Consider the following 24,530-nt stretch of genomic DNA (forward strand, 5'->3'; position numbering starts at 1 on the left):
GTAAATGTATTAGGGCAATTTAAAAAAAGATTTAAAAGTAAATGTATTTTACAGAGTCTCTACAATTTAAGACATAATTCTTCCTGAAAAAAAAAAAACATTATAAAATATAATCGAACTCATTGCTTTATTTGTATTATGATTCCTATTTAGAAAAACAAGTTAATAGCAATTATGAACATGTTATACTGAGACCATAGATTTTTTGCATTCCATATGGATTGGAAAAAATATAATAATTAAATGTGCAAACCAAAAAAACTATGATGATTCTGACCAAGTTTTTTACAGCTAATAAATATATTCTTAATTTTTATTCATAGGCATTCCTGTTGATGTAGTAGTCAACATTTTTATTAACAGTTTTGGATCCATTCAAGAAACAACAATGGTAAGATTGCAATTAATTTAATATTTTGTCAAATATTTCAATAGAGGAGATAGTGAAAGTAACATTAAAATTGAACAATAAGGAGCAACTCAAATAATCCATGCCCTTTCCTAGTATAAAATGTCCAAATTTCTAGATTTTGTTAAATCAGTGATTTCAGTTACCCACATAATTTTGCAATTCACATTTAGCTTTAATATTGCGTTAAAACTTACAGACTTAAAAGAATTGATGTATTCCCCCTGAAAAACTGTGATTGGATACAACCTGGAGAAAGCGCTTATGCCATGAAGACTCTTGGGCAACAGTTTTTGTTTTCTAATATGCTTATATGTTGGAACATTCAAAATGTTTTAAGTATTCAAGTTTTTTTCTTCCAATTTCCTGAGGAGAATCCTTGTTTTACCTGTTATGTTCATTTTGTGATATGTAGAGCAGGGAATTGTAAGAAGCAAATAAGAAAATTGATTTTCATAAGATAGGGCAATGTGAACGCCTTGAAAAGATGGTGCAGCAAGATGAAAGGGCCGGGAAAGGCAGGTGAAGACTGGGAAGGAGTGACAAGCAGATTCGTGTCTTGAAAGGAATAGGAAAGAGGTTCAAGAGAGGTTTGGCTGTTGTCCATGATAAGTTGGACTTTAGGGACAAAGTTTTCAGTAAAGTAATATTAGTAGATTTCCTAAGCCTCTTGAAAGCCATTCGATAAAGTCTATTTGCTTACTAAGGTTTTAGAATATTAAATTTGTGCTCTTTTTGACAAACCACATGGTGAAATAATACTTCAGGTGGAAGAAAGAAGACCTAAGATTTATTTTCCTGTATTTTTGGGAGACACTTTTATTTTATTAAATATAAGATTTTGATTGCAAGCCTAGTAAGAATGGCAAGAGTACAGTCTAATTTTCCTGAGAATATCTCAGACTAGTGAAATAATTACTTAAAATATTTACTCCATTATTCCTAGTAGCAGCAGCATAGTACATTATAAAAGCAATTGTACATTGCATTTAATTAATGACACCTATTTTTAAATTTTAATTGTGATGAGAGTGTTATTTATTTGTAGAAGTATATATTTAAGCTGGGTAATGGACAAAGTGTAGATATTTTAGAGAATTACTTAAAAGATTTGGGGATTATGTCCAAAATTCACTTCCAGTGACTTTTTACATCATTTAAATAACATAGACATGCATTATAAATCACTAGGAGACCTTTCTGAAATAAAATATAAACTACTATATATGACTCAAGAGACACTATAGCACTCATTAACTGAAAATGTGGTTAATCTGTCTATATACTTCACTTTCCAAGAGTAAGAGATATCATTTTCTCAAGGTAAAACTTTGCAGGAATCTATTTGATCTCCACACCCTGTTCTGTACCCTGGTTATCTAGCACGACACCACTACACTAATACAGAAACACAGCTATGAAGATATTGCGTCTTATAGGAAACATCCCCACTCTTTATCTTGCATGCCCCTGTGATCAGATCCAAGAGAGTTTTAGGTCAGCTAATGCAAGGATCTTTTTTTCTTCTTTGCATATGTCATAGCTCAGTAGGTATCATTAATGTATCTATTTTGTAATAAATACTGAATTCCTTCCAACTATCAGGAAGGAATTCTGGTAGGTCTCATCAGTAGTTACTAGACTGTATTGAGTTGAAAATACCAGGGAGCATGTAATATTTAAATAAATTCTTACAGAGTTTTGATGATTATGATAAAATATTTCATCATTTCTAATATCCTCTCACTCATCTGCACAGACCCATCCCAGTAGTTAGCCAAGAATAACTTATCCTCGGTACCAGATTCAATAAATTCTCACCATGGAGTCTTTACCCTTGCTTTTTATTCTTGATCTTCTTCTCTTCTAAACAGAAATTTTCATGGCTATTCTCACTCACTTTGTGCACTCTTTTCAATCTAGGTTTTTCATCTCTATTATTTGTCTGTTACTTTAATAGCTTCTATACTGTAATTAAATTATTTTTGTGTGTATTCCTTTTATTCTCTAATGGACTATAAACTCATAAAATTAGCAATAATGTATTCTACTTACTCATTTTTCCATAAAATACAGAAGACATTAGGCACTCAATGGTGAACACATAAATAAATATTTTTATATTAGCCAATAGTGAGTGAATAAATGAACAAATAAAATTGCTATTTGCTTAGTTAAGTAAAATGGTTGGTGGAACAAATTTAAACAGTAGATTAATGTTGAGCATTTAGATGGCTTAATAACAGACTGAATAATGTCGTTACTACAGAGTGTAATTTTGAAAACTTTGAAAACCTTTATCTAAAGGAGTCAAATTATTTATATTCATTATTTCTTTGATCATATAGCCTGGATGAAAACCAATCTGCCCTTCACTTTATATTGACCGACATGCCTAAATGTTTAAGATCAGAACTACACTCATTAAATAGATGTAAATATTCCATTTTATCATAATTATTCTTTTTTGCTTCCAGCAATATTTATTTTATATACCTTTATAAAGTAGAATTGTACACATATATCATTTTACAGTCATATTTCATATATTTGCTCAGTCTTCTCAAGGCAAATGCTGTAATACCTTGTTGTTTAATAGTTAGGAAAGCATAAGTCATTATAGATACATAAATGACATTAAAATATCTTTCAAAAGAAAAAATTCATCTAGACAACACTTCATTTCTTCATAATTTGTTATAAACAATGGTCAGAAAATAATAGTGATAACACAGAAGTGTAACCCAAAAGGGTATACATGTCTGGACAGGAGTTATGTTATGAGAGGATACTTCTTCAAAACAAACAAAAATAATAAAAATAAACAAAAAAAGTTCCCCAAAACAAGAGTTTGAGAAAGCAGAGAGTATTAGATTTGTCTATATATAAGATGCACATTCATGGCAATATAATGGTGGGCTGTGTGTGAGTTGTGTCATCCAACAGGCTTGTGTTTGAGTCTGTTGTGTCCTTGCTGTGTTACTAAAGGGAGGGAATAAGTTACAAAATTAAAACAACGGTATTTTGACTGGCATAGCAACCACTATGCCAGTGATGATGACTTTTTGGTTGTCATACATTAGCAAATTAATTTAAAATTTCACAGTAGTATATTATCCTAAAAACTGAATTATTTCTAATTGTATTAGCAGTCCTACTGTATATGTGTGGCTTTGTCTATTACTAGCCTCCTAGAAATCTCCCCTACAAGGATGTACAAAAATAAAGGAATTCCTGGCCAGGCACAGTGGCTCATGTCTGTAATCCTAGCAACTTGGGAAGCTGAGGCAGGTGGATCACTTGAGGTCAGGAGTATAAGACCAGCCTGGCCGACACTGTGAACCCCGTCTGTACTAAAAATACAAAATAAATAAATAAATAAATTAGCTGGGCATGGTGGTGCACACCAGTAATCCCAGCTACTTGGGAGGCTGAGGCTGGAGAATCACTTGAATCCAGGAGGTGGAGGTTGCAGTGAGCTGAGATCATGCCAAAGGAAGTCTTAACATTTAAAAAGCTTCAGTATTGCTCTGTGCTTTCCTCTGAAATTCAAACCATTCTACTTCAGCAGATAGTGCTTATTAAAGAAAGCACAATGCAGAACACAGAGCCTGGGAGTAGATATAACATGAATAGCCACGAGTCAGGTGTCAGAAAGATGGAGGGCAACTTTTAAAGGAAGAGGGGCAGCCCATTTCATCAGTGGATAATGTTGATTATCAAACAAGGAAGCAAGCAAAGTTATTGGCATTAATGTTATTGTCAGGAAATTTTAACCAATTCTATTTGGAAAAAATTTGTTTTTGCTTTTTTTCTCTAAATTTAGATGCTAAATGTTGCTGGCTAAACTAGAAGTCACCTCACATTATTCATAAACCATAATTGTATAGTGGAGGAAAAATTACAGCCTTATTAATATTCCTTAAGGTCTTCCATATCTCTGTGGTTATACGCTGCTTCAGCCTGTTTTATGGCCTCATTGTGAAGCTTTATAGTTCCTATTTCTCATGTCTGTGTGCTCATTTGTATTTTGCTACCTTACATTTTTGTAAGGTATCATTATCAATACTATAAGTGGTATTTACCAACATTAACAGTAGCATCACCAAAATTGTCAAATAAATGTTATCATCCCAATTTGAAGTTGCTGGAACAGTCAGTTCTAGTTCTACCAGTTTATGTGCTACTGCTTGTGACAACTGAAATAAGAGTATTCAAAACAGTGAGAAGAATGATTTGTTAGGGGCTAGGTGACATCTGTTCTACAGTTATGCTTACAATATTTGTTGAGTTTCCATTCAGTTCCTAACTTTGGCTTTAATCAGCAGGATTTTCATAATTGAAAATGTGACCTATCGAACTTATGTAGGGAAAACTGGGTATTATCGTGTATTGTCATAATCTATACACTGGCACTTTGACTTATCAGAAATACATAAGAGCTCTTTCATGGAAATAAAAGCCTGTTTATACAATCTATTTTCTTTCTTTAGTTTAGGCATCCTTTGTAATTATATTGAATTATTATTGCACTATAATTCATGATCCTGTCAGACTTTCTATGCCTTTTTGTTCCATGACTTTTTGTTTATTTTAATAATAGATTGCAACTCCTTTTGGGAAACACAGCTGTGACTGTCAAGAAAAAAATTCATATTTGGGATCCACTAAAAATGCTTGATTCTAGTTCTTGGTAATTGCTCATCTTTGTTGTTTTAAAACAATTTTATTTTATATATTTTTATATTTAGATTTAAAATGCTTTCCTTAAAACTTGCCTCAGTTTACTATTTATATTTTGTTTTTGTTGTTAATTTTAAAGCATGTACTATAGAATAATAGAATTTACTGTAGAATAATATTAGACATATTTGTCCCATTTTTTATTTCACATATCTTAGTAGATTTTACATCTTAGATGTAAAATCATAAACATTAAACTGATTTCATATTTATTTTTCTCATGTTATTCATCTTCAGGGTTTGCACTCTGTTGTTGGCTGAATAATGGCCCCCTAAAGATGTTCATGTCATAATCACCAGTAATCACAATTCTTATATGAAATTTCTAATCTCACTAGAGGCTAAATTTTATATCCTTTTCAAACCTGTGGATATGCTGTTTTATATGTTAAAAAGGACATTTCAGATGTGATTAAATTAAATATTTGGAGATCGGGGGAGAGTATCCCAGTTTCTTCAAGTGAACCAGTGTAATTGATAGCGTTCTTGTAAGACAGAGACAGCAAGATCAGGGTCAGTGGTAGTAGCTGTGATGCAGGAAGCATGAAGCAGTTGTCATGCAAGGAAGGGACCATGACTTAAGGAATGCAGGTGACCTCTAGGAGCTGAAGAAGCCAAAGGAAAGAGGTTCATTCCTCAGAGGCTTCAAAGGAACCAGCCCCTCAGACAGAACAATTGACTTCAGCTCAGTGAACATGATTTTGGTCTTCTAAGCTACAGAACTGTAAGATACTAAATGTGTGGTGCTTGAAGCCACTATTTTTGGTAATTTTGTTACAGTGGCAATTGGAAACTAGTACATATGCTGATGAGCATTTGTTAGTAATTTTTTTCCTTCTGAATTCTGCTGGAGGTTTATCTGATTGCATATAACTTCCTCCCAAGTCCAGCTGAAGGATTATCTGATTATAACATAACTTTTTCCATATATGAAAATGCCAGACTAATCAGTTGTATTTTATTGAGTAATTACTTAAACCTCTCACTCATTAAGGTTAATTCTATTAAGGATGTAATTTTTAAATATCTATATATATGTTTTTAGTAGTTAAAATATACTTTATTCCTTTGTGTCAAAGTTACCTTTTTTTAGTGTACGTACATGAAACTCAACAATTTGTTATGGATACTTTCCTCATTACCTTTTTTCTTCAAGTTACATTATTTGGAAGCATTGGTGATTAAATTTCACAAGTAAGAGTACTGTATTAGGCATTGTGGAAGGATGAAAAATGTCCAAGTTTTGTTTTCTCTTTCTAGTAATTTGATTATTGTTATTAGTGGATATGAAAAAAATTAATGGTGTGAATAATACTACACAACTTCCTGAACTGAACTGTCAACATGATACAGAAGGCATTTCCTCATTCCTGTATTTAATAGAAGTGTATTGGATGCTTTTTATACTCAGCCTCAGCAGGTCTCTATTCTTTATGGGGTTTCCAGCCTAGTGTGGCACCATAGCACCACCTAGCAGGCTCTCCTAATAGAAATGGACTATGAACATAGATCTAGAAAAATTAATTATCCATAAGGTTTTATTGAAGAATCTTTAATTATAAACCTTGAAAAATGATATATTGAGAAAAATCACTACTATATAACCTAAGAGTTTTTACAGGCATTTGGGTAACTTGCAATTCTTATATGGAATTTTAACCTGACTTGAGGCTAAATTTTAAATCCTTTTCAAACCAGGCTTTTAATAGCCCTATTGACAGAACTTTAATTATAATGCTGCCAGATGCTATAAGAGCTGATCTCTTTTATTTATTTGAATGCTAATTTTTGCCATAATGCAAAGAAAACAAATGAATTAAAGATTATATATGTGAGCTATTCTAACAACATTACAAAATATAAACAGTTCTTAATATTAAAATATCATTTATGAAACTTAACCGATTATAGTGTCTTGTTGTGAAATGTTTTATTGCCTTGAAGAAATGGTTTAATTTGGGTGTTAATTGGTTCTAAAAGTTTTTGGAGACCATCCATTTTTTCAGATAATGATTAATAGTGTGTTATTTGGAATGAACAATGAATAGTATTTGTCACCAGTGCTTTAAAAGCAATTAAGTAATTTCCCACTCATAAAAGAGGTCTGTTTCTGATGGGAATTTGTTTCTTGCAAGATAAATGATAGAGCTATAATTACTGTGATTGAATAATTGAAAATGAAAATAAATAGGTTTCAAAGATGGTTATCTTAATATAAAGCATTTGAAATGCCAATAACTAGTAATTATTTGAAAATACTCATAAAACACTAACCAAAACATGTAACTAATGAGCTTTTATCTTTTCATGAATGTTCAACACAAACTATTAACTTAAATTGTAAAAATTTGAAATATTCTTAAAAGATACATAAGCTTGCTGGAACTTGCGTGGAATCATAGTATTATATGGCCTCATAACTAATAGAAAAGAATCTTTGAAGCACTTTCATAATGAAATAAGACATAATAATCAGGATGATACACTGAATGAACCAGTGAAGTAGGCAATTTCCAGTTTTGGTGATGCTCATTGGAATATGACTCTGATGGAATTCTATTTAAACAAAATAATTGGGGTAGAGACCCATTTGAGCTTTTTTTTTGTGGTGTATTGAGGTGACAATGGTGCAGCTTAAAGCAAGAAGAGTTTAGGAGATGCTAAAAAATGTGTGTTAGCACTGTGTTGAGATTTGAGATCTAGAGGTGAATGACTGTTCAAAATAATTGTAGGTAGATCATCTCAGTATAGAGAAACCCAAACATGTTACACTATATGCAGAATTTTTTGAAGCAAAAAAGCATATTAAGCACTCTACAAGCATTAAAAAGGAATAACAACAACATGAAGGATATTTCCTAATAAAATGAAAAAGTTTTTTAGCACCTAATATCTCCAGGTGCAGTTCATGTACTTTGCATATAACATCTCACTGAATTCTTCCTAAAACTCTATGTTGTGAGTGTATGATTATTATCCCTATCTTATATGGAAGGGAACTTTGTCTTCCATTCACTCCTTAATCCCCTGCAATTTTGTTTTTGATACACCACTGTATCGAAAATGTTTTTGCTGTAATCTTCAGTGGCTTCCTCATTTGCTGAAAGTAGTCAGTGTTTTTGTTTGTTTGTTTGTTTTTGTACTTGACCTTCTGTGGCACTTACTGCTGTTGACCATCACAAAGCTTTTGTTCTTTTGGTTTAGTGAAATCACATTCTTAGGATTTTTTTCTTTTTCAGTCTTCTAGCCAGCCCTTTAAGTGCTTACCCTCCCAGGTATTTTTGTGTTTCTTGTTTTTGTTTTTGTTCTGTATTCCTGCTCTAAGTAATAATTTTGAACAAACCTATTCTTAGTCTTGATATTTTTTTGGTAATGTTTTGAAGGTTCATGCATGCTGTAACATGTGTCAGAATTTCATTCCTTTTTTATGGCCAAATAATATTCCATTGTGTGTGAATGTACCTACCAAATTTTGGTTATTTGTTTATCTGTTAATGGACATGGGTTATTTTCAGCTTTTGGCTGCTGTAAATAATGTTGCTATGAACATGGGTGTACAAGTGTATCTGTTGGAGTGTCTGCTTTCAATTTTTGGGGGTATATACCTAGGATTGGAATTGCTGAATCATATAGAAATTCTGTGTTTAGCCCTTTGAGGAAAATATATAATTTTTAAAAGTTTAAGACAGACTTATAGTGAAGACATATCAATGATTTATTTGATGCACTAATAAGGGAACCAACAGCATAGTGAAGCTGATCCAAGGAAGAATTCAAGAGACTGCAGTGAAAGAAATAATGCTGAAATTAGATTGTTAAATTTAATACAAAACTTGTTAATGTTATACAGAGACGTATAGGCATAGTCTTGAAGAATTTTTTTTCTACAAGACAGAAATCATTAGTAACATCAATTTTTAAAAGTTATCTAATTTTACAGTCATAACCCTAATCAATAGAAAGTAGCAATTGAAAGTTACATTGTCCTGGAGAATCACAGGCACTAAGGTGGGCTTGTTAGACATTGTTTTAGTGTGATATTGAAAGAACAAACAATATTTTTGCCTTATCTTAAAACTTGGGATGTTTTTTCTTAACCTTGTATTTCTTGACTTTGATTTTGTTTATGGTATTTTTTGCATTCACTTTTTAAGAGTAGACTCGATGTAGACATTATTGTAGCTTTATTCATAATTGACAAAAATGTCACTTAGTAAATGAATGGATAAACACACCAAATTGATACATTTGTTATCAAACATAATTAGACGTTATCCTCCAAAGTTTATCTTTTATATTAGGTTTCATTCCTAGTTTAGAACATTCTATGGGTTTTGTCAAATGTATAATGATATATATTCACCATTATAGTATCATACAGAAGGGTTTCACTGCCCTAAAAATCATCTGTGCTTTGCCTCTTTATCCCTTTCTCCTCTCTAAATTCTGGAACCACTGATCTTTTTACTGTCTCCATAGTTTTGCCTTTTCCAGAATGTCAGATAATTGGAATCGTACATTATGCAGCCTTTTCAGATTAGCTTCTTTCACTTAATGATATGCATTTAATGTTTCACCATATCTTCTCATGGCTTGATTGTTCAGTTCTTTTTAACACTGAATAATATTCCATTGTCTGAATGTACCACAGTTTACTTACCCATTTATCTACCGAATGACATTTTCATCAATTATGAATAAAACTACAATAAACATCCAAGTGAAGGGTTTTATGCTGACATGTTTTCAGCTCCTTTGGGCAAATACCAAGGAGTGTGGTTGCTGGATCATATGGTAAAAGTATGTTTCGTTTTGTAAGAAACCACTGTCTCCAAAGTGGCTGAACAGTTTTTGATTTTTATCAACAATGAATGAGTTTTTTCCACTTTTTCCACATCCTTGCGTTCGTTTTTGTCAGTGTTCTGGATTTTGGCCATTCAAATAGGTGTGTAGTGGTATCTGATTGTTGTTTTAATTTGCATTTCCCTGATGTCAAAGGATGTTGAACATCTTTTCATATGCTTATTTGTCATCTGTATATATTCTTTGGGGTAGTATCTGTTCAGATCTTTTGGACATTTTTTAATTGAGTTGTTTGTTTTCTGATGGTTGAGTTTCAAGAGTTCTTTGTATATATCTTGGCCTTGATTTTAACTCCTACCTTTCCACTGTCTCTTGCTTGACCCCTGAATTATTTGGGCCATTTTCTCTATCTTGATATTTAATCATTCTTATTATGATTGATTATATTGTATTGTTGATGAAACTGATTAAGAAGTGGTATCTTTTTGCCTCTGTCTTTTTTTTGCTTTTCCCACATGTCACCCACCACCTGTCAAAGTTTTTACTCTTTGGGAACCCCACCAGCTTTAAGTTCTACAGCCTTTCCTGATCGCTGGTGTCTGATGTGATCATTTATTCTCTCAACAAGTATTGCTTTGTTCTTACATCCCTTAGGGTCTTTACCAATTGTTTCATGACTTGTTTAATCATCACTTCCTGAGGATATGGACCCCATGTTCTTATCCCTCTCAGATAGCTCAGACCTTTGAACATGGGAAGTCTTTATTAATGAATAACTGTTGAATTAATGAACAAACAAAGGAATGAATGATTGTTTAACAGAGTCCGGCAAAATCAATTTTTAAATAAGCCTCTTTAATCACTGAATTTAATCTGGACCATAATAACAAGTAGTCCACACAACAAGTTTGCCATGTTACTTCATGTATCTCTAGCCAGTGAAATCTGAATAATAGTCTGAAAATCTCAGATTTGTTTTCTAGTACCATTTTGTGTTGATCTCTGTATGGCTAGCACCTAATGTAGTGCTTGATTTTTAGTACATACAAAAAATGCCTTCTAAAAGCTTTTGAAGAATTAGTAAAATGTTAGCTTTAATAATGTTTAGCAGCCAACTAAAACTTCTAGGTAACATCTTTACAACAATAGAAAAGGAATGCTGTCAATAGTAATGTATGCATATTCAAAATGGTGATAATAGACATAATGATAATAATGTTAATAATACATATAATAAAAGTAATAAACTTTTGTGAGTACTCACTTGGGGCCAGGTTTCATGCTTTCAGTAGAGTATCTCCTTTAATTCTTAGAGTAACTGTGGACTAATTTTATTGACAAGGAATTTGAGGCTCAGAGAAGTTAAATAACTTGACTTAAACCCATATAGCAAATTATTTAGCACAGAATTTAGACCCAGATTTCTCTAACTACAGGTCTCAGTATAGGTATCAATTCATTAGTTAGCTTAAACTGATCTTCAGAGTCAAAATTAGATGTCCATTGTGAACTGGTTTTTGTTTTATGTTTACATAGCCTTTTTCAAGTTATGTTTGACTGATGTTCAATATCCCTTATAGTTATTTTTTTAAAAGCAAGGGGAGCTCACAGCTTTATCCTTGCTAACTAGACCATGAAAATTAATATGTCATTAATAAATAATTTTTGAATGAATGAACTAACTAGTAAATTACCTAGGGATTTAGATGGAATTTAAATAAATGTTTTCTGAAAGTCTATGATCTAATCTGTAGCTGGATTCCCAAGGATGCAAAATGGGAAGAAAATGAAGGAAAGCTGCTTCTGCTGATTAAAATGCTTAGACTTAATATACTGATAAAAAATACAAATGTATTCTTGGGTTGTGTAGAAACATTCATAAGATTTCAAGAAGGATTTAGGATAGTAAACTTCACATGGAGAAACACTATTAAAATTCCTAAAGAAATTTAAAAACAAAGCTATTTTTGGTATGTAATTTTAGATTAGTTAACCATACCATTTTGAAAATAGGTAGAACATGGAATTATGCTTCCAAAACATGTGTGCGTGTATGGAAATTTTAAGGGGAATATTGTATAATACAGGCTTAATTTATGAACTTTCACCCCAAAATACAGAATGACTTCTTTTTTAGTTATGCAAAACATGTTGAAGTTAAATACTAGCATTTCTTTAATTTCTGTCAGATAATACTGTGAACATTATTATAAAATACTGATATAAAATCTTTAGAAATTAATTACTGAGCAGCCAACCAGTATACATTCCAAAAGATATTTGTTTTGGTCTGGATAAAGAATACTAATGAGTGGCTGAGTATGGTGGCTCATGTCTATAATCCTAGTACTTTGTGAGACCAAGGAGGGAAGTTTGCTTGAGCCCAGGCTTTCGAGACCAGCCAGGCCAACATAATGTGATATCATCTCTATACAATTTTTTTTTAATTACCCAGGAGATTGAGGCTGCAGTGAGCTGTGATAGTTTCACTGCCCTCCAACCTGGGCAACAGAGCAAGACCCTGTCTCAAAAAATAAAAATAAAAATCTAAAGTAAATAAATAAAGAATACCTATAAGATTTTAATACTTATATCCCTATACATATATGTAATATTCTATCAAAAGGAGATGAACTAATATTAGGCTGAAATAAAGCATTCTAACTCTGGAAGCCACATTGGCAATATTTCTTGGCAGCAACACCCAAATAATACTGAAATGCTCTTGTCAAGAATAAAGCAATATCTCAACTGTTATTTTATTTTCTATCCATCCCTATTTCAGAAAGAGTTGAGGTATATGATAAGAAAAATACAATGAAGTAATTGAGAAAGAACTGAATGTGTAGGAGACATACAATGGTAATTGCACCAGGATATGAGAGAGAAATTGTTAATGCAATTGGTAGTAGAGTTAATGTTTAGCTTCCCAGCTACAAGACTAAAAGAAAAACACAATTAAGTCTTATTTTCCAGTCATATGAAGCATATGAAAGCATCAGGAGAGCATTTTGATAGTGTAAACTCTGAGGATTAAATGTGATTTTGTAAAGCACTTAACATTAAGTATACTTAGCACATGGTAAATACCTATATAATGGTATGATAGTAATATATTTCTAACAACTTAAAAATTAAATAAGGAATTCATCCTGTGTATTTTGATATAAGGGTCATTGATCACAATAAAGGGTCACAGCTTTAACAACAAGTATGTAAAATATACCTACACAGCTTCATCTGGTTATTTCTTATACTGAACCTTAATATCAAATTAAGGACATAATATTTTATCATAATATTATGAATGCTTATTTTAAATATAGCAATTCAAAGTTACAGGGTTTTGGTGATTTACCTTGATAAAACACAGCACCTAAAGGTGGTGATATGGTTTGGCCATGTCCCCACCCAAATGGCATCTTGAATTGTAGCTCCCATAATTCTCACATGTGGTGGGAGGGACCTGGTGGGAGATAATTGAATCAAGAGGGGAGGTCATTTCCCTGTTGTTCTTATGACAGTGAATAAGCCTCATGAGATCTCATGGTTTTATAAAGGAGAGTTCCCCTGTACGTGCTGTCTTGCCTGCCACCATGTAAATCATGCCTTTGCTCCTCCTTCACCTTCTGTCATGACTGTGAGGCCTCCCATGCCATTTGAACTGTGAGTCAATTAAACCCCTTTCCTTTATAAATTACCCATTCTTAGGTATGTCTTTATTGGCAGCGTGAGAACAGACTAATACAGAATGTAATAGAATAATTTTCAGTGTGTATATTTCAAGGAAGATTTTTAGCAAATAATTTGAAATGAATTATATTGAGTGTTCAAAATAACGTTAAGTGGCTATCAGCCACATGCTTTGGCTAAGGTAGTATAATTCATATTTTATTAGAAAATGCTTGAAACTAATGTGTGTTCCCTCTAAAGTAGAGGGCCATGCATGTCTTCCTGCAATGGATAAAAACGTTTGCCACGTTGTATCTGTTGAAAGCCTTCACTCCATGAGATAGATAGGTTTTAGTCTTAGACATTCTTGAATTAATTTTTGTAGGTGTTGCAATAATCATCAGATATTAAGTAATAATCTAAATTTCATTATGAATTTTAATTTTAAGATATGTGTATACTTGGACAAAAAGTTTTGGGGAAGAATGATAGTAATACTTAGTGATTCTCAGGCTTTTATGGTACTACCATCTAATCAACTGTAATAATTGGTGTTTGTATAAAGGTAAAGGAACTATCAACAAGGTTATATTCTGATGTTTGAGCTAGCAAGTGCTACGGAATGTCTGCAGAGAGTAATTACATAGAGACAAGTGTCTTTATACTGCTAATGGAGCTCTCCTTTAGTGACACAGTTGTTGTGATCTTGGTTGATGTTGGAAGAACAAAAATATTTGTGCCACTAATCATTGTAACCCTTTTTGTTTTGGGGCCGAATAAGTTCTTAAAAATAGCAATAAACATACACATGTGCACGCATGTACTTTTTCTTCAGGACTATAGAGTTAACATCTTCCTGAGACAAAAATGGAATGACCCCAGGCTGAAGCTCCCCAGTGATTTTAGGGGTTCAGATGCACTGACAGTGGATCCAACAATGTACAAGTGTTTATGGAAACCTGATTTATTTTTTGCAAATGAAAAAAGTGCCAATTTTCATGATGTGACCCAGGAAAACATCCTCCTCTTTATTTTTCGTGATGGAGATGTCCTTGTCAGCATGAGGTACTCTTTTATATTTCATATTTGTGCATTTATATTTTCCTTCTAAAATCAATGGATGACAGAGAAGTATATTAAATTATTTCTAAGACCCATTTCTGCTTCCAGGTTATCTATTACTCTTTCATGCCCTTTGGACTTGACATTGTTTCCCATGGATACACAACGTTGCAAGATGCAACTGGAGAGCTGTACGTAAATGAGAACATAATTGATTATGAAAATAAAGTGTTTAAAATGTCTGGGTAATACATTCTACTGACATCTTAGACAACAGTGGTAAAACTAGTGCTTTGATTATAAATAGTCATTAAAATAATTTATTTAGGGAAATTATAGTTACTCTTTTATTAATACTATCTTAACTTGTATTAAGATAAATCATTTTTGTACTAGCCTTGTTTCAGTTCATTGATGTAGGTGTATACTTCTAACATTCCAGTTGCCATTGTTATTTGAGTTGGTAATACAGGCAAGGTAAAAGAGAAAATGACATCCTAATTTCAATAGCATTTCTGATGTTAAAACCAGATTTTCTTAGCAGAAAATTTGGAAAACATTGAAAAATATTCTGTAAATCCAACTGAGCATTCATTCTCTATGAAAGTAAAGAAATGTAAACAACTTTTTTACAAAATTGTATTTTTTATGTTTAATTGATCATATATTTTTCATTTATTAAAAGGTACCCTAGGTGTATTAATTGAAATTATTATTTATCTATACAATGTACTAATTAATTTCCCATGATGCTTATCTTTTGAAAATAAAAGTAGAACATAAACCTCAAAAAAAAAAACACAAATGCAAGGAATGTTTAGCCTGAATACATGGATCATCTTATAATAAGGTCGTCTATTTCTTCAGAGAGTAAAGAATAATTACCTGGCAAAACATCTTGCATATGTATTCTAGGTTATATGTCTAAAGTTACTTTGTGGTTGTTTTTTAAATAATGTACCGAAATGGATCCTAAATTTGAGCAGTATTTATTTCTTTCTAACTATAAAATGAGATTTTGCACATGTATGTGTTTATATGTTTGCACATGTCTGTTTATGTTTTTGTATGTATTGTATATGAGTGCCTGCATGTCAAGATGTACTTGTAGAAAACTTCCAACAGTGCATTTACATTTTGATCCCATTACTGGATGCACTAAAATATTACTTTCAAAAATACATACACTTTTGAGTTCGATACTAGACTAGTGTATGCTGTAAAATTCTTTAAATTGTAGCCACATACCTAAGCCCAAAATGTGTGTGCTTCAGGGTGCTGAAATGATGCTGTAATTATGTCCCTTTGAGGGATTATTTTATTGGCCTTCTATGGTGATGCAACTCCTTTAGGGAATTTTGCAGTGATCATAATGATGATGATGATTATTTTTTAAAACAGAGTCTTGCTCTGTCACCCAGGCTAGACTACAGTGGTGCGATCTCAGCTCACTGCAACCTCCACTTTGCGGGTTCAAGCAATTCTCCTGCCTCAGCCTCCTGAGTAGCTGAGATCACATGCGTCCACCACCGTGCCTGGCTAATTTATGTTTGTATTTTTAGTAGACATGGGGTTTCACTATATTGGCCAGGCTGGTCTCGAACTCCTGACCTCGTGATCCACCCGCCTTGGCCTCCCAAAGTGCTGGGATTACAGGTGTCAGCCACCGCACCAGGCCGATTTCTTAAAAGAAATTTAGATGTTTCAATGATTACATTTCTTTTAAAAATCCCAGGGAGCATATTACATGATTGTAAATGTATACGTTCAGAAAGCTTGCATCACTTATTTATTAGCTTTTTATTGATGACCATTAAAAACTAATTCTGACATAGAGAAATAAGTTATTGTATATGATGCCCTAGGATTTTAAATCTGTGCCGTATGCTTATTATTTAAACTTGTTCTTTCTTTAAGATGAATATCTTTAACTCTTGTACTAGTACTTCCATTAGTGACCATGGGTTTTACCTCTTTACATTTTAAACTACAATTTCATATAAGAAGGTCTTATTTTCTTTCCTTTGCTATGTTTAAGATTTGAATTATGAAAATATTTAAAAAGCATTATTAATTATATTTTAAACTAACATTTATTTGTTTTTGTTTATAGTTGGTTACACAACTGATGATTTACGATTTATCTGGCAGTCAGGAGATCCTGTGCAATTAGAAAAAATTGCCTTGCCTCAATTTGATATCAAAAAGGAAGATATTGAATATGGTAACTGTACAAAATACTATAAAGGCACGGGTAAGTAATATTCTTTAAATAAAACGAAGTTCTATTTCAAAGATACATTTTAATTAATACATAGCCAAGGGGAGAGTAGAAAAGAAGTGGCCAAAACTTAAAATTAAATTAGCAAATAGTTTATCTTTACATTCATATGTTTAAGTCTTTCACAGAATTGTATTCACTAGAGTTTTTTGAACTTTTAATTATTAGATAGACATGCTTGATTTTTCTTTATGTAATTCTTGTGGTGAGAGGTTTTTGTTTATGTTAGTAATGAAAACTCTCTCAGGTAGTGGTTTTCAGATGTTGTCAAGAAATTCTACTTCTGGCAGGATTCCACTTGGGGCTGAACATTTTAGATATAAACAATATAATCCATATATGTTCACCCATTGTCTTTTGGGTAGTTTTTAGATGGTGGTTGGCCCATATTCTTAATTTTAAAAAGCATTGATCCTTATGCTATGCAGGAAGCAATAAGAATGTGAAATAATTGGACATCAGTAAATATTCCCTGTACAGTCTTCTTGACCTAGGTCACAGAACAGCCAATTATGAAAAGGAAAACAAATTAACCTCATTCACTAAGTTGCATGGAGCTTTTGCAGAAAGTACAGTACTCACTACTCAATACTGTCATAATATGATTAGTGTTCAACCTTTTATTTTCTGCTAGTAGTTCTAGGTTAGTGAGGGTTTTAGATACTGAATATAGTGTTATTTCACTTAGCAATATAAAGAAGATTATTCAATTTTGATTATTATATTAGTAATAATAATCAGTTCAACATGTAAATTATTGCAGAATCCTAATTCTGCCTTTGGAAGTAAATCATAACAAAAATATTCAGAAATAGATATAATTAAAGCTTTATTGCAAAATGCATGTTGACTTGAAATAATAAAATATATATAGTATAATTGTGTAAAACTGAGAGAGATCAGATGTTTGTAGAATGCTGACAGAATGAGCTAGAATGCTGTCCTCATGATGTCATCAAGGCAACATATAATTTAAAACATTCCTGTTAATATTAAGAGGTGGAGAGAACATTTACATATTTACAATGCTGTGATAAAGACAATGCTAGGCAGCTTGGGGATACAGTTAAACATCTATTGTTGACTTCAAAATACATTAGCAAATGATATAACTTTAATATGTAAGCATTCCTTCTTAAAGCTTATAGTACATTAGGAAAACAGAGATAATAGTCGAATATATTGCTAAATAATTATGGAGGTTTTTAAAAGTAAAAAATGGAGAGCTATTAAAAATTTGACCATCAAAGTATTCAATGAAGAAGTCATAGATAATAAGATATGGAAGTGATCTAATTGATAATTCTGAGCCACTCCTTTATTTAACACATAAAATAACTGAAGAGCAGAGTGAATACATTACTTATTAAATTACTTATTACTGGTGACTTATTACTTATTAAATGTCACCAGGCAAATTACTGTCAGCCTTGGGACCAAGAGTAGTATTCCATCTCCCATTTGTACTTCAAATTAAGAAGATTATAGTTCTTAGAGATTTTTGAGACTGTCATATAAGAACACGTACTTAGTAGATAGGTTTTTGATCTCTCGCTATACTAGGCATTGTTTTTAGTTCTTTGCAGGAATTATTTAACTTAATCATCCCAACAATTCTATGAATTAAGTACTTTTATTATCCTCATTGTACACATTAGGCTAATGAAATAGACCCTTGCCCAAGGTCATACAGTTACAGTGATGCTGTGGGAGAGGGAGTCTGATACTGTTATACGATTAATACCTGTGGAGTCCTATTATAGTTTGAAAATTGTTACCCACATCCAGATTATATGCTTAACATTTCAAAAAGAGTAGTGTCTAAATTGTTTTGAGAAATTTGAAGGAGACTCTATTGGATTTTTTAATTTCTTAGAGATGAAAATGACACTAGCAATTTTATTTGTAATTTTATGTAATAGCATATGATTATATAATAGCTTTGAAAGTCCTAGGAGTGTTCATTTTTTCACTTTTAAGCTCTACATTAAAAAAAATCTCCATTTGGGGACTCAGTAGTGAATAAAAGAAAGGTCCCTGCCCTTTAGAGAGCCATATTTCAATGTGGTAAACAAGTAAACAACGTAAAATATAATTCATTTTAGTTCTTAGAATAAAATTAGAAGGTGTGCTATGGTATTTGGGTATGGAATTTGGGGGATTACTCAAGAGTTATAAGCATTTCTGGGAAATTTTTTGAGTCATAAATAATTCACTGAAATCTCATTAGCTACAGAAAATAACAACAAAACAACTTATGCCTAACAATATTTTTTGGCACTTAGTATGTTTCAGGGACTTGATCAGTACTTTTATGAATTATCATATGAATATAAGTAAAATATATTTTAATGTTTGGATAATTAGAAATCTAGTTAGAAAAATAAGACATTGAAAATACATGCAATAGTTAACAGCATAGAAAAATGGGAAAGTATAAATATATATATGAGCAATATATAAAAAGATAGCCAATATTTAGTTTGTATAGAAATAATAATGCAGCTTCAACTTTATTAAAATTATGCTTTTTTATGATTATAGAAGTAACAAAAGTGGAGAAATATGTGGGAAAGCAAGTATACAAAAATACTCAAATTGGAAGCCTGAGTGAATAATGGGATAAAACTTCACAGGAAATAGAAAGTAAATTGAATTTGCCCAATGAACATTTATATCAATTAGCTGCCCACCTGCCTCTCATAAATGTTAATAATACTAGGAAAAGATCAAAAAAAGATCAAGAAATGTTTCTCATAAAATTTTATGGAGCAAATCACTATAATATCCAAGCATGTATTTTACTGCTAAATGCATCCAAGTCTTGTGAAGCTCCCCTAGTGGGTACCTTCATAAAAGGGACACGATGGAAACTTGCTCCAAATTGCAGGACTCATGTGAATGGACTATCATTTAAACATAGTGGGATGGAATGGAAAATTTTATTTTAAACTATGCTACTTTGTAGTAAATCGTTATAATATTTGTGACAACTGAGACTACCTAAAAATATATAATTTGTTGAGAAACATTTCATATGCACTAGGTGAACAGAAAACTAATTTGACTTAGTGATACTATTACAAAGTCATGTACTTCAGAATCAGTTTTAGGAAATATTTTGAGCCTTCTCAATTGTAGCAATTGTACTTATGAAAGATTCTATTTTTGAAATATTGCACATGATTGTTAGTTAGAAACATATGTTCTTATTTGTCCAGGCAGAGAGTTAAGGGGAATGGTGGGAAAAGAAAAGAAAGGGAGATTTTTCATTGTTATGTTTTTTACATCCTTTGAAAACCTGTGAATGACTTGATATATTGCCTAATTTTAATTAAATTCAACTGTAAAAAAGAAACACTTGCATTTCTTGTCTTTAATATAATATGGAAGCATTTGGCATAAATAGAATTTGCTTCAGTCGAAAGCAACTATTTTTGTTACATATTAGCTCTACTGTCTGTGTAACCTCTCAGAGGTGGCAATGATTCTAAATCACATTGGGAAAAGGAAAGATTTCTAATCTATTTGTTGAGGATATAAATAGCCATTCTTTTATTTCATGTTTATTAAGGTCCTATTCTGTGCAAGTACTGCTGTAGGTGCTATTAATGAATAAATATGTAGATTATTCTTGTGTTAGATATATGTATATTCTTCCCAGTTAGGAAGACCAGGTAAATATTGTTTTTAAACTGTAAAATAGGAAAAAGTAACATTATTCTTTCCCCCATAATTGTTTCATTTATTTATTGTTCATTAATTTGTTTCACCATTTTAAAAAAATTATATAGAGTTTAAACAGAAAACGATTATAGATATTTTATTTTGCTATTTATGCACAATCTTACATTTGTAAAATGGCAAATGACATTCTTCTCTAAATTAAGCACTTTCGGCATTATATATTATATTTAAATAGTTAACTGAAAAGAGCAAACATTTAAGAAATAATCTCGAACATCTGGAAATACCTTTTCTATTTGAATGCAGTACTGTGAGCATATTCGTGTTACTATTTTCTTTCTCAAGGCGGCAAAGGCTATTGTGAGGCTGCCTGTAATTGGTGATTAATTTGGGGGACTAGTTGATGTCATGGCCACTCTAGAATTAGGTTGTAAAACAATTTCTGCATTTGTCTTGGCATGTGAAAATGAAAGTTATTTCCTTCAGTTGGAGTACCTTTGAGAGCCTGAAGTAGAGGTGGGCAAAGAATTGAGAGGAATATCCGATGTTTGCACCATATACATCTTTTATGTATATGGATTGAAAACACTGGTTTCCTATACTTGCTAATGTTTACTTCCAATACTTTCTTAATTTTTAAGGTTTATCTATATATGAGAGTCAGTGTATACTGCCATCCATCCTAGATAAGAAGTGGTACATATGGCTGAAAAATTATACTGATAATGTGTAGTCCCGGAGTGTTTCTTTTTAAGATTTGTTCTACTTTGATTTACTACTGCCTGTATGACTCCTTTAGATCATTGCCCTGAGAGGACCCACGGGTAAAGAAAAGTTCAACTCTATTGCCAATTCTCTGAACAATGACCTAAAAGGCTAGACACTGACACAGTAGAGCAGCATGTGGGATCTATTTCTCAATGTCATAATGAAGTTGCGAAAGGTCAGCTGAAACTGGTTCCATAATGTCACCCTTTTAGATCACATAAATTATATATCTGCAAAGAAAAACTTTTTTTTGAGGCATTTCCTCTGTGAAATTGCCTCAGATGGAAGTGACTTACCGTTTCCAGGTCTGTCATTGATGTTTGCCATTCTGTGTGGGTGAAAACCTCATGCCTTGAATGTGTTTGCTTCTGAAAGGCTACTACACATGCGTGGAAGTCATCTTCACCCTGAGGAGGCAGGTCGGCTTTTACATGATGGGGGTCTACGCCCCAACTCTGCTCATTGTTGTTCTCTCCTGGCTTTCCTTCTGGATCAACCCGGACGCGAGTGCTGCCAGAGTGCCCCTGGGTAAGGTGTTCCATGCTTTTTTGTCACATCAGGAACAGATTATATCTTTATCTAACTTACCATATAATCAACTACTTTGAAACAATGAGTTTTAGAATTGTTAGCCACCAATTTCGGTGTTTAAAGACTTTCTTCAAAACTTGATATTGAACTAGATTTTCTCAATGTTTATGCACTCTATAATTAAGCTAAGTTTCTCTTTTCATGTCCTTGGAGTATTATAAGCAGTTAATCTATTTTTCTGTCATGAAATAATTATTTATAAGTGATTTTCACGGATAACTATGTCTAAAACCTTCGGTAGTGCCAAACTTAAAAATGAATAACTATTTCGAAGGAAGTCTTTCTGAAAAATAGTATGTATTATCACATACTCTTAGGGAATAGTAATCTAATTTACTTTTTAAAAATTACGAAAAATTATGTAACCATCATTTTCCCAACCATTGGTTATTGTGTGCTATATCAGGGCTGGTTGCCTGTCCCTTGAGGGCCATTGCTCTCCAGTTTATTTTTAATGCTTTGTGACATAGAAATACCACCAGCCAGTCTTTTGAAAATTGTGTCTGTATAATGGCTAAAAAGCCTTTGCTTAAGGAAATAAGCAAGCGCCCTTCCTATGGATAAATTGAATAAACTTCAAAATATGTACATTGCATCAACAAATTTTGGTTGGTTGGAGTGTTTCAAAATTTTTTATTACTGTGTGTCTGTGTGTTTTCTGAATATCACCTGGAACTCACACTGGTAAGACTGTGAACTGTCTGACCTCCTCAGTGAGTATGTAGTTGCTACATTTAAATTTTCTTCCATCGAAAAGGCCTTGTGCAAATCTCTCTCCTGACTTACTGGAGGAATTAAATGAAATACAGATTTTAAAGAGTAGGAAGCTAGGAAAGAAGCCATGAAAATGGCAATGTCATCTGAAGAAGAAATTTGTTTTTTTTACATCTAATTGAAATCACACAGACCAAATTTATAACCAAAAATGTGAGAAATTTCATCATGGATAAAAACTATGTATTATTACATGTATTATATTTACTGGGAAAATAACCAAAAAAACCTGAATTTAAATTCTTAGACTTGTCAAAAATATATATTTCTCTCAAATAATTTTTGTTGTTGTTATTCATTAGAAGTTTCTTATGTTCATGCAGTGATATAAATGTCAGGCTTCCAAGACTACTTTGGAGACAACTCAATTTCTGACATATCCTTTAAGAATTTTTCATCTCCATTCATTGCAGGACTTCTGATACCAGGTTCCTGAGCTGTGACTTGATATCCAGGCTGAAAGTTCAATGGCTGAAAGTCAGTCTCTAGAGTTAACTTGGGTTTGAAAGCCAGTTCTGGATTTACTAGCTGTGACAAGTTGGACAACAGATTTAACTTCTTTAAAAATAACTCTGCTGAAATGTCAATAGGGATGATAAAAATACCCAAGAAGCTCCAGGGAGTATTAAGAAAATGAGTGAAAGCCTATATTACACATTCAGGAGTTAATAATGAGCTACATTTTTATATTGCTTTACAGTTTGCAAAGCAGTTCTACATATTTTGATTCCTTCAACAAGTATTTGTTTTGTGTTATGTGTTAGGTACTATTAAAAAAGATGGGGATGTTGTTAACAAAATAAATAGCTAATAAATAGTTAATAAAATGCATTAAAACACTTCTTAGCTTCAATGAGTATATATGTTATTGGGAAGAAACAGGCACCAAATAAATATAATATATCATATGTAAGATAGTGATGTAAGATAGCAAGTTTGGAGGTAGCAAACTGCTTGTTAGAAAGGCCACAGTGAGAGGGTAATACTGGATAGAGACAAGAAGGAGGTGAAGAAATGAGTCATTTCTAGGACAGAGTGGGCCAGACAGTGATCATCTGGGCTGCATTCCTGAGGCAGGAGCATGCTTGGACATTGGGGGAACAAGGAGGCCACTGTGGCTGGAGCAGAACAAGTCAAAGGGAGAGTAGTGGGAAAGGAGGTCAGAAAGATAACAGCGATGAGGGGTGGACTATGTAGCATCTGCTGAAAAATCCTGATGATTTTGAGCTTTTTTTTTTTTGATGGAGTCTTGCTCTGTTGCCCAGGCTGGAGTACAATGGCATGATCTTGGCTCACTGCAGCCTCCACCTCCCAGGTTCAAGTGATTCTCCTGCCTCAGCCTCCCGAATAGCTGGGATTACAGGCACCCACCACCATGCCCAGCTAATTTTTGTATTTTTAGTAGAGACAGGGTTTCACCATGTCAGCCAGGCTGATATCGAACTGCTGACCCCGTGATCTGCCCGCCTCGACCTCCCAAAGTGCTGGGATTACAGGCGTGAGCCACTGCACCGGGCCGATTTTAGTTTTTATTCAGCATGAAATACAAAGTCGCTAAAGGCTTTTACACATGATCTGACTTAAATTTTAACCAGATCTCTTTGCTTACTTTGTTGAGAACAGAATGACCTCGGGCAAGAGCAGAAGCAAGGAAAGCAGTTAGGAGACAATTGCAATAATTCAGGTAAATATTTGGTCTAGTGAGTAGTAGTGCAGGTGCTGATAAATATTTGATGATGG

At 32.7% G+C, this 24,530-nt stretch overlaps 1 protein-coding gene across 6 annotated transcripts in view; it reads left to right on the top strand.

Annotated features, from left to right (window-relative positions):
• GLRB (glycine receptor beta) overlaps positions 1-24,530 on the top strand; it is a 95,941-nt gene that overhangs the window by 45,857 nt on the left and 25,554 nt on the right. For 5 of the 6 annotated variants that reach the window (NM_001440545.1, NM_000824.5, NM_001166061.2 and 2 more), the window contains 5 exons: positions 324-391; positions 14,463-14,692; positions 14,798-14,880; positions 16,803-16,943; positions 21,801-21,953. In NM_001440545.1, the coding sequence (NP_001427474.1) occupies positions 389-391; positions 14,463-14,692; positions 14,798-14,880; positions 16,803-16,943; positions 21,801-21,953 (610 nt within the window). In that variant the 5' untranslated portion in view covers positions 324-388. Of the gene's footprint in view, positions 1-323; positions 392-14,462; positions 14,693-14,797; positions 14,881-16,802; positions 16,944-21,800; positions 21,954-23,203; positions 23,630-24,530 lie in introns of those variants that run through there. The other variant, XM_047450075.1, reaches the window with a different exon arrangement.

This window comes from Homo sapiens, chromosome 4, assembly GCF_000001405.40.
Source record: "Homo sapiens chromosome 4, GRCh38.p14 Primary Assembly".
Classification (NCBI taxonomy): Eukaryota; Metazoa; Chordata; class Mammalia; order Primates; family Hominidae; genus Homo; species Homo sapiens.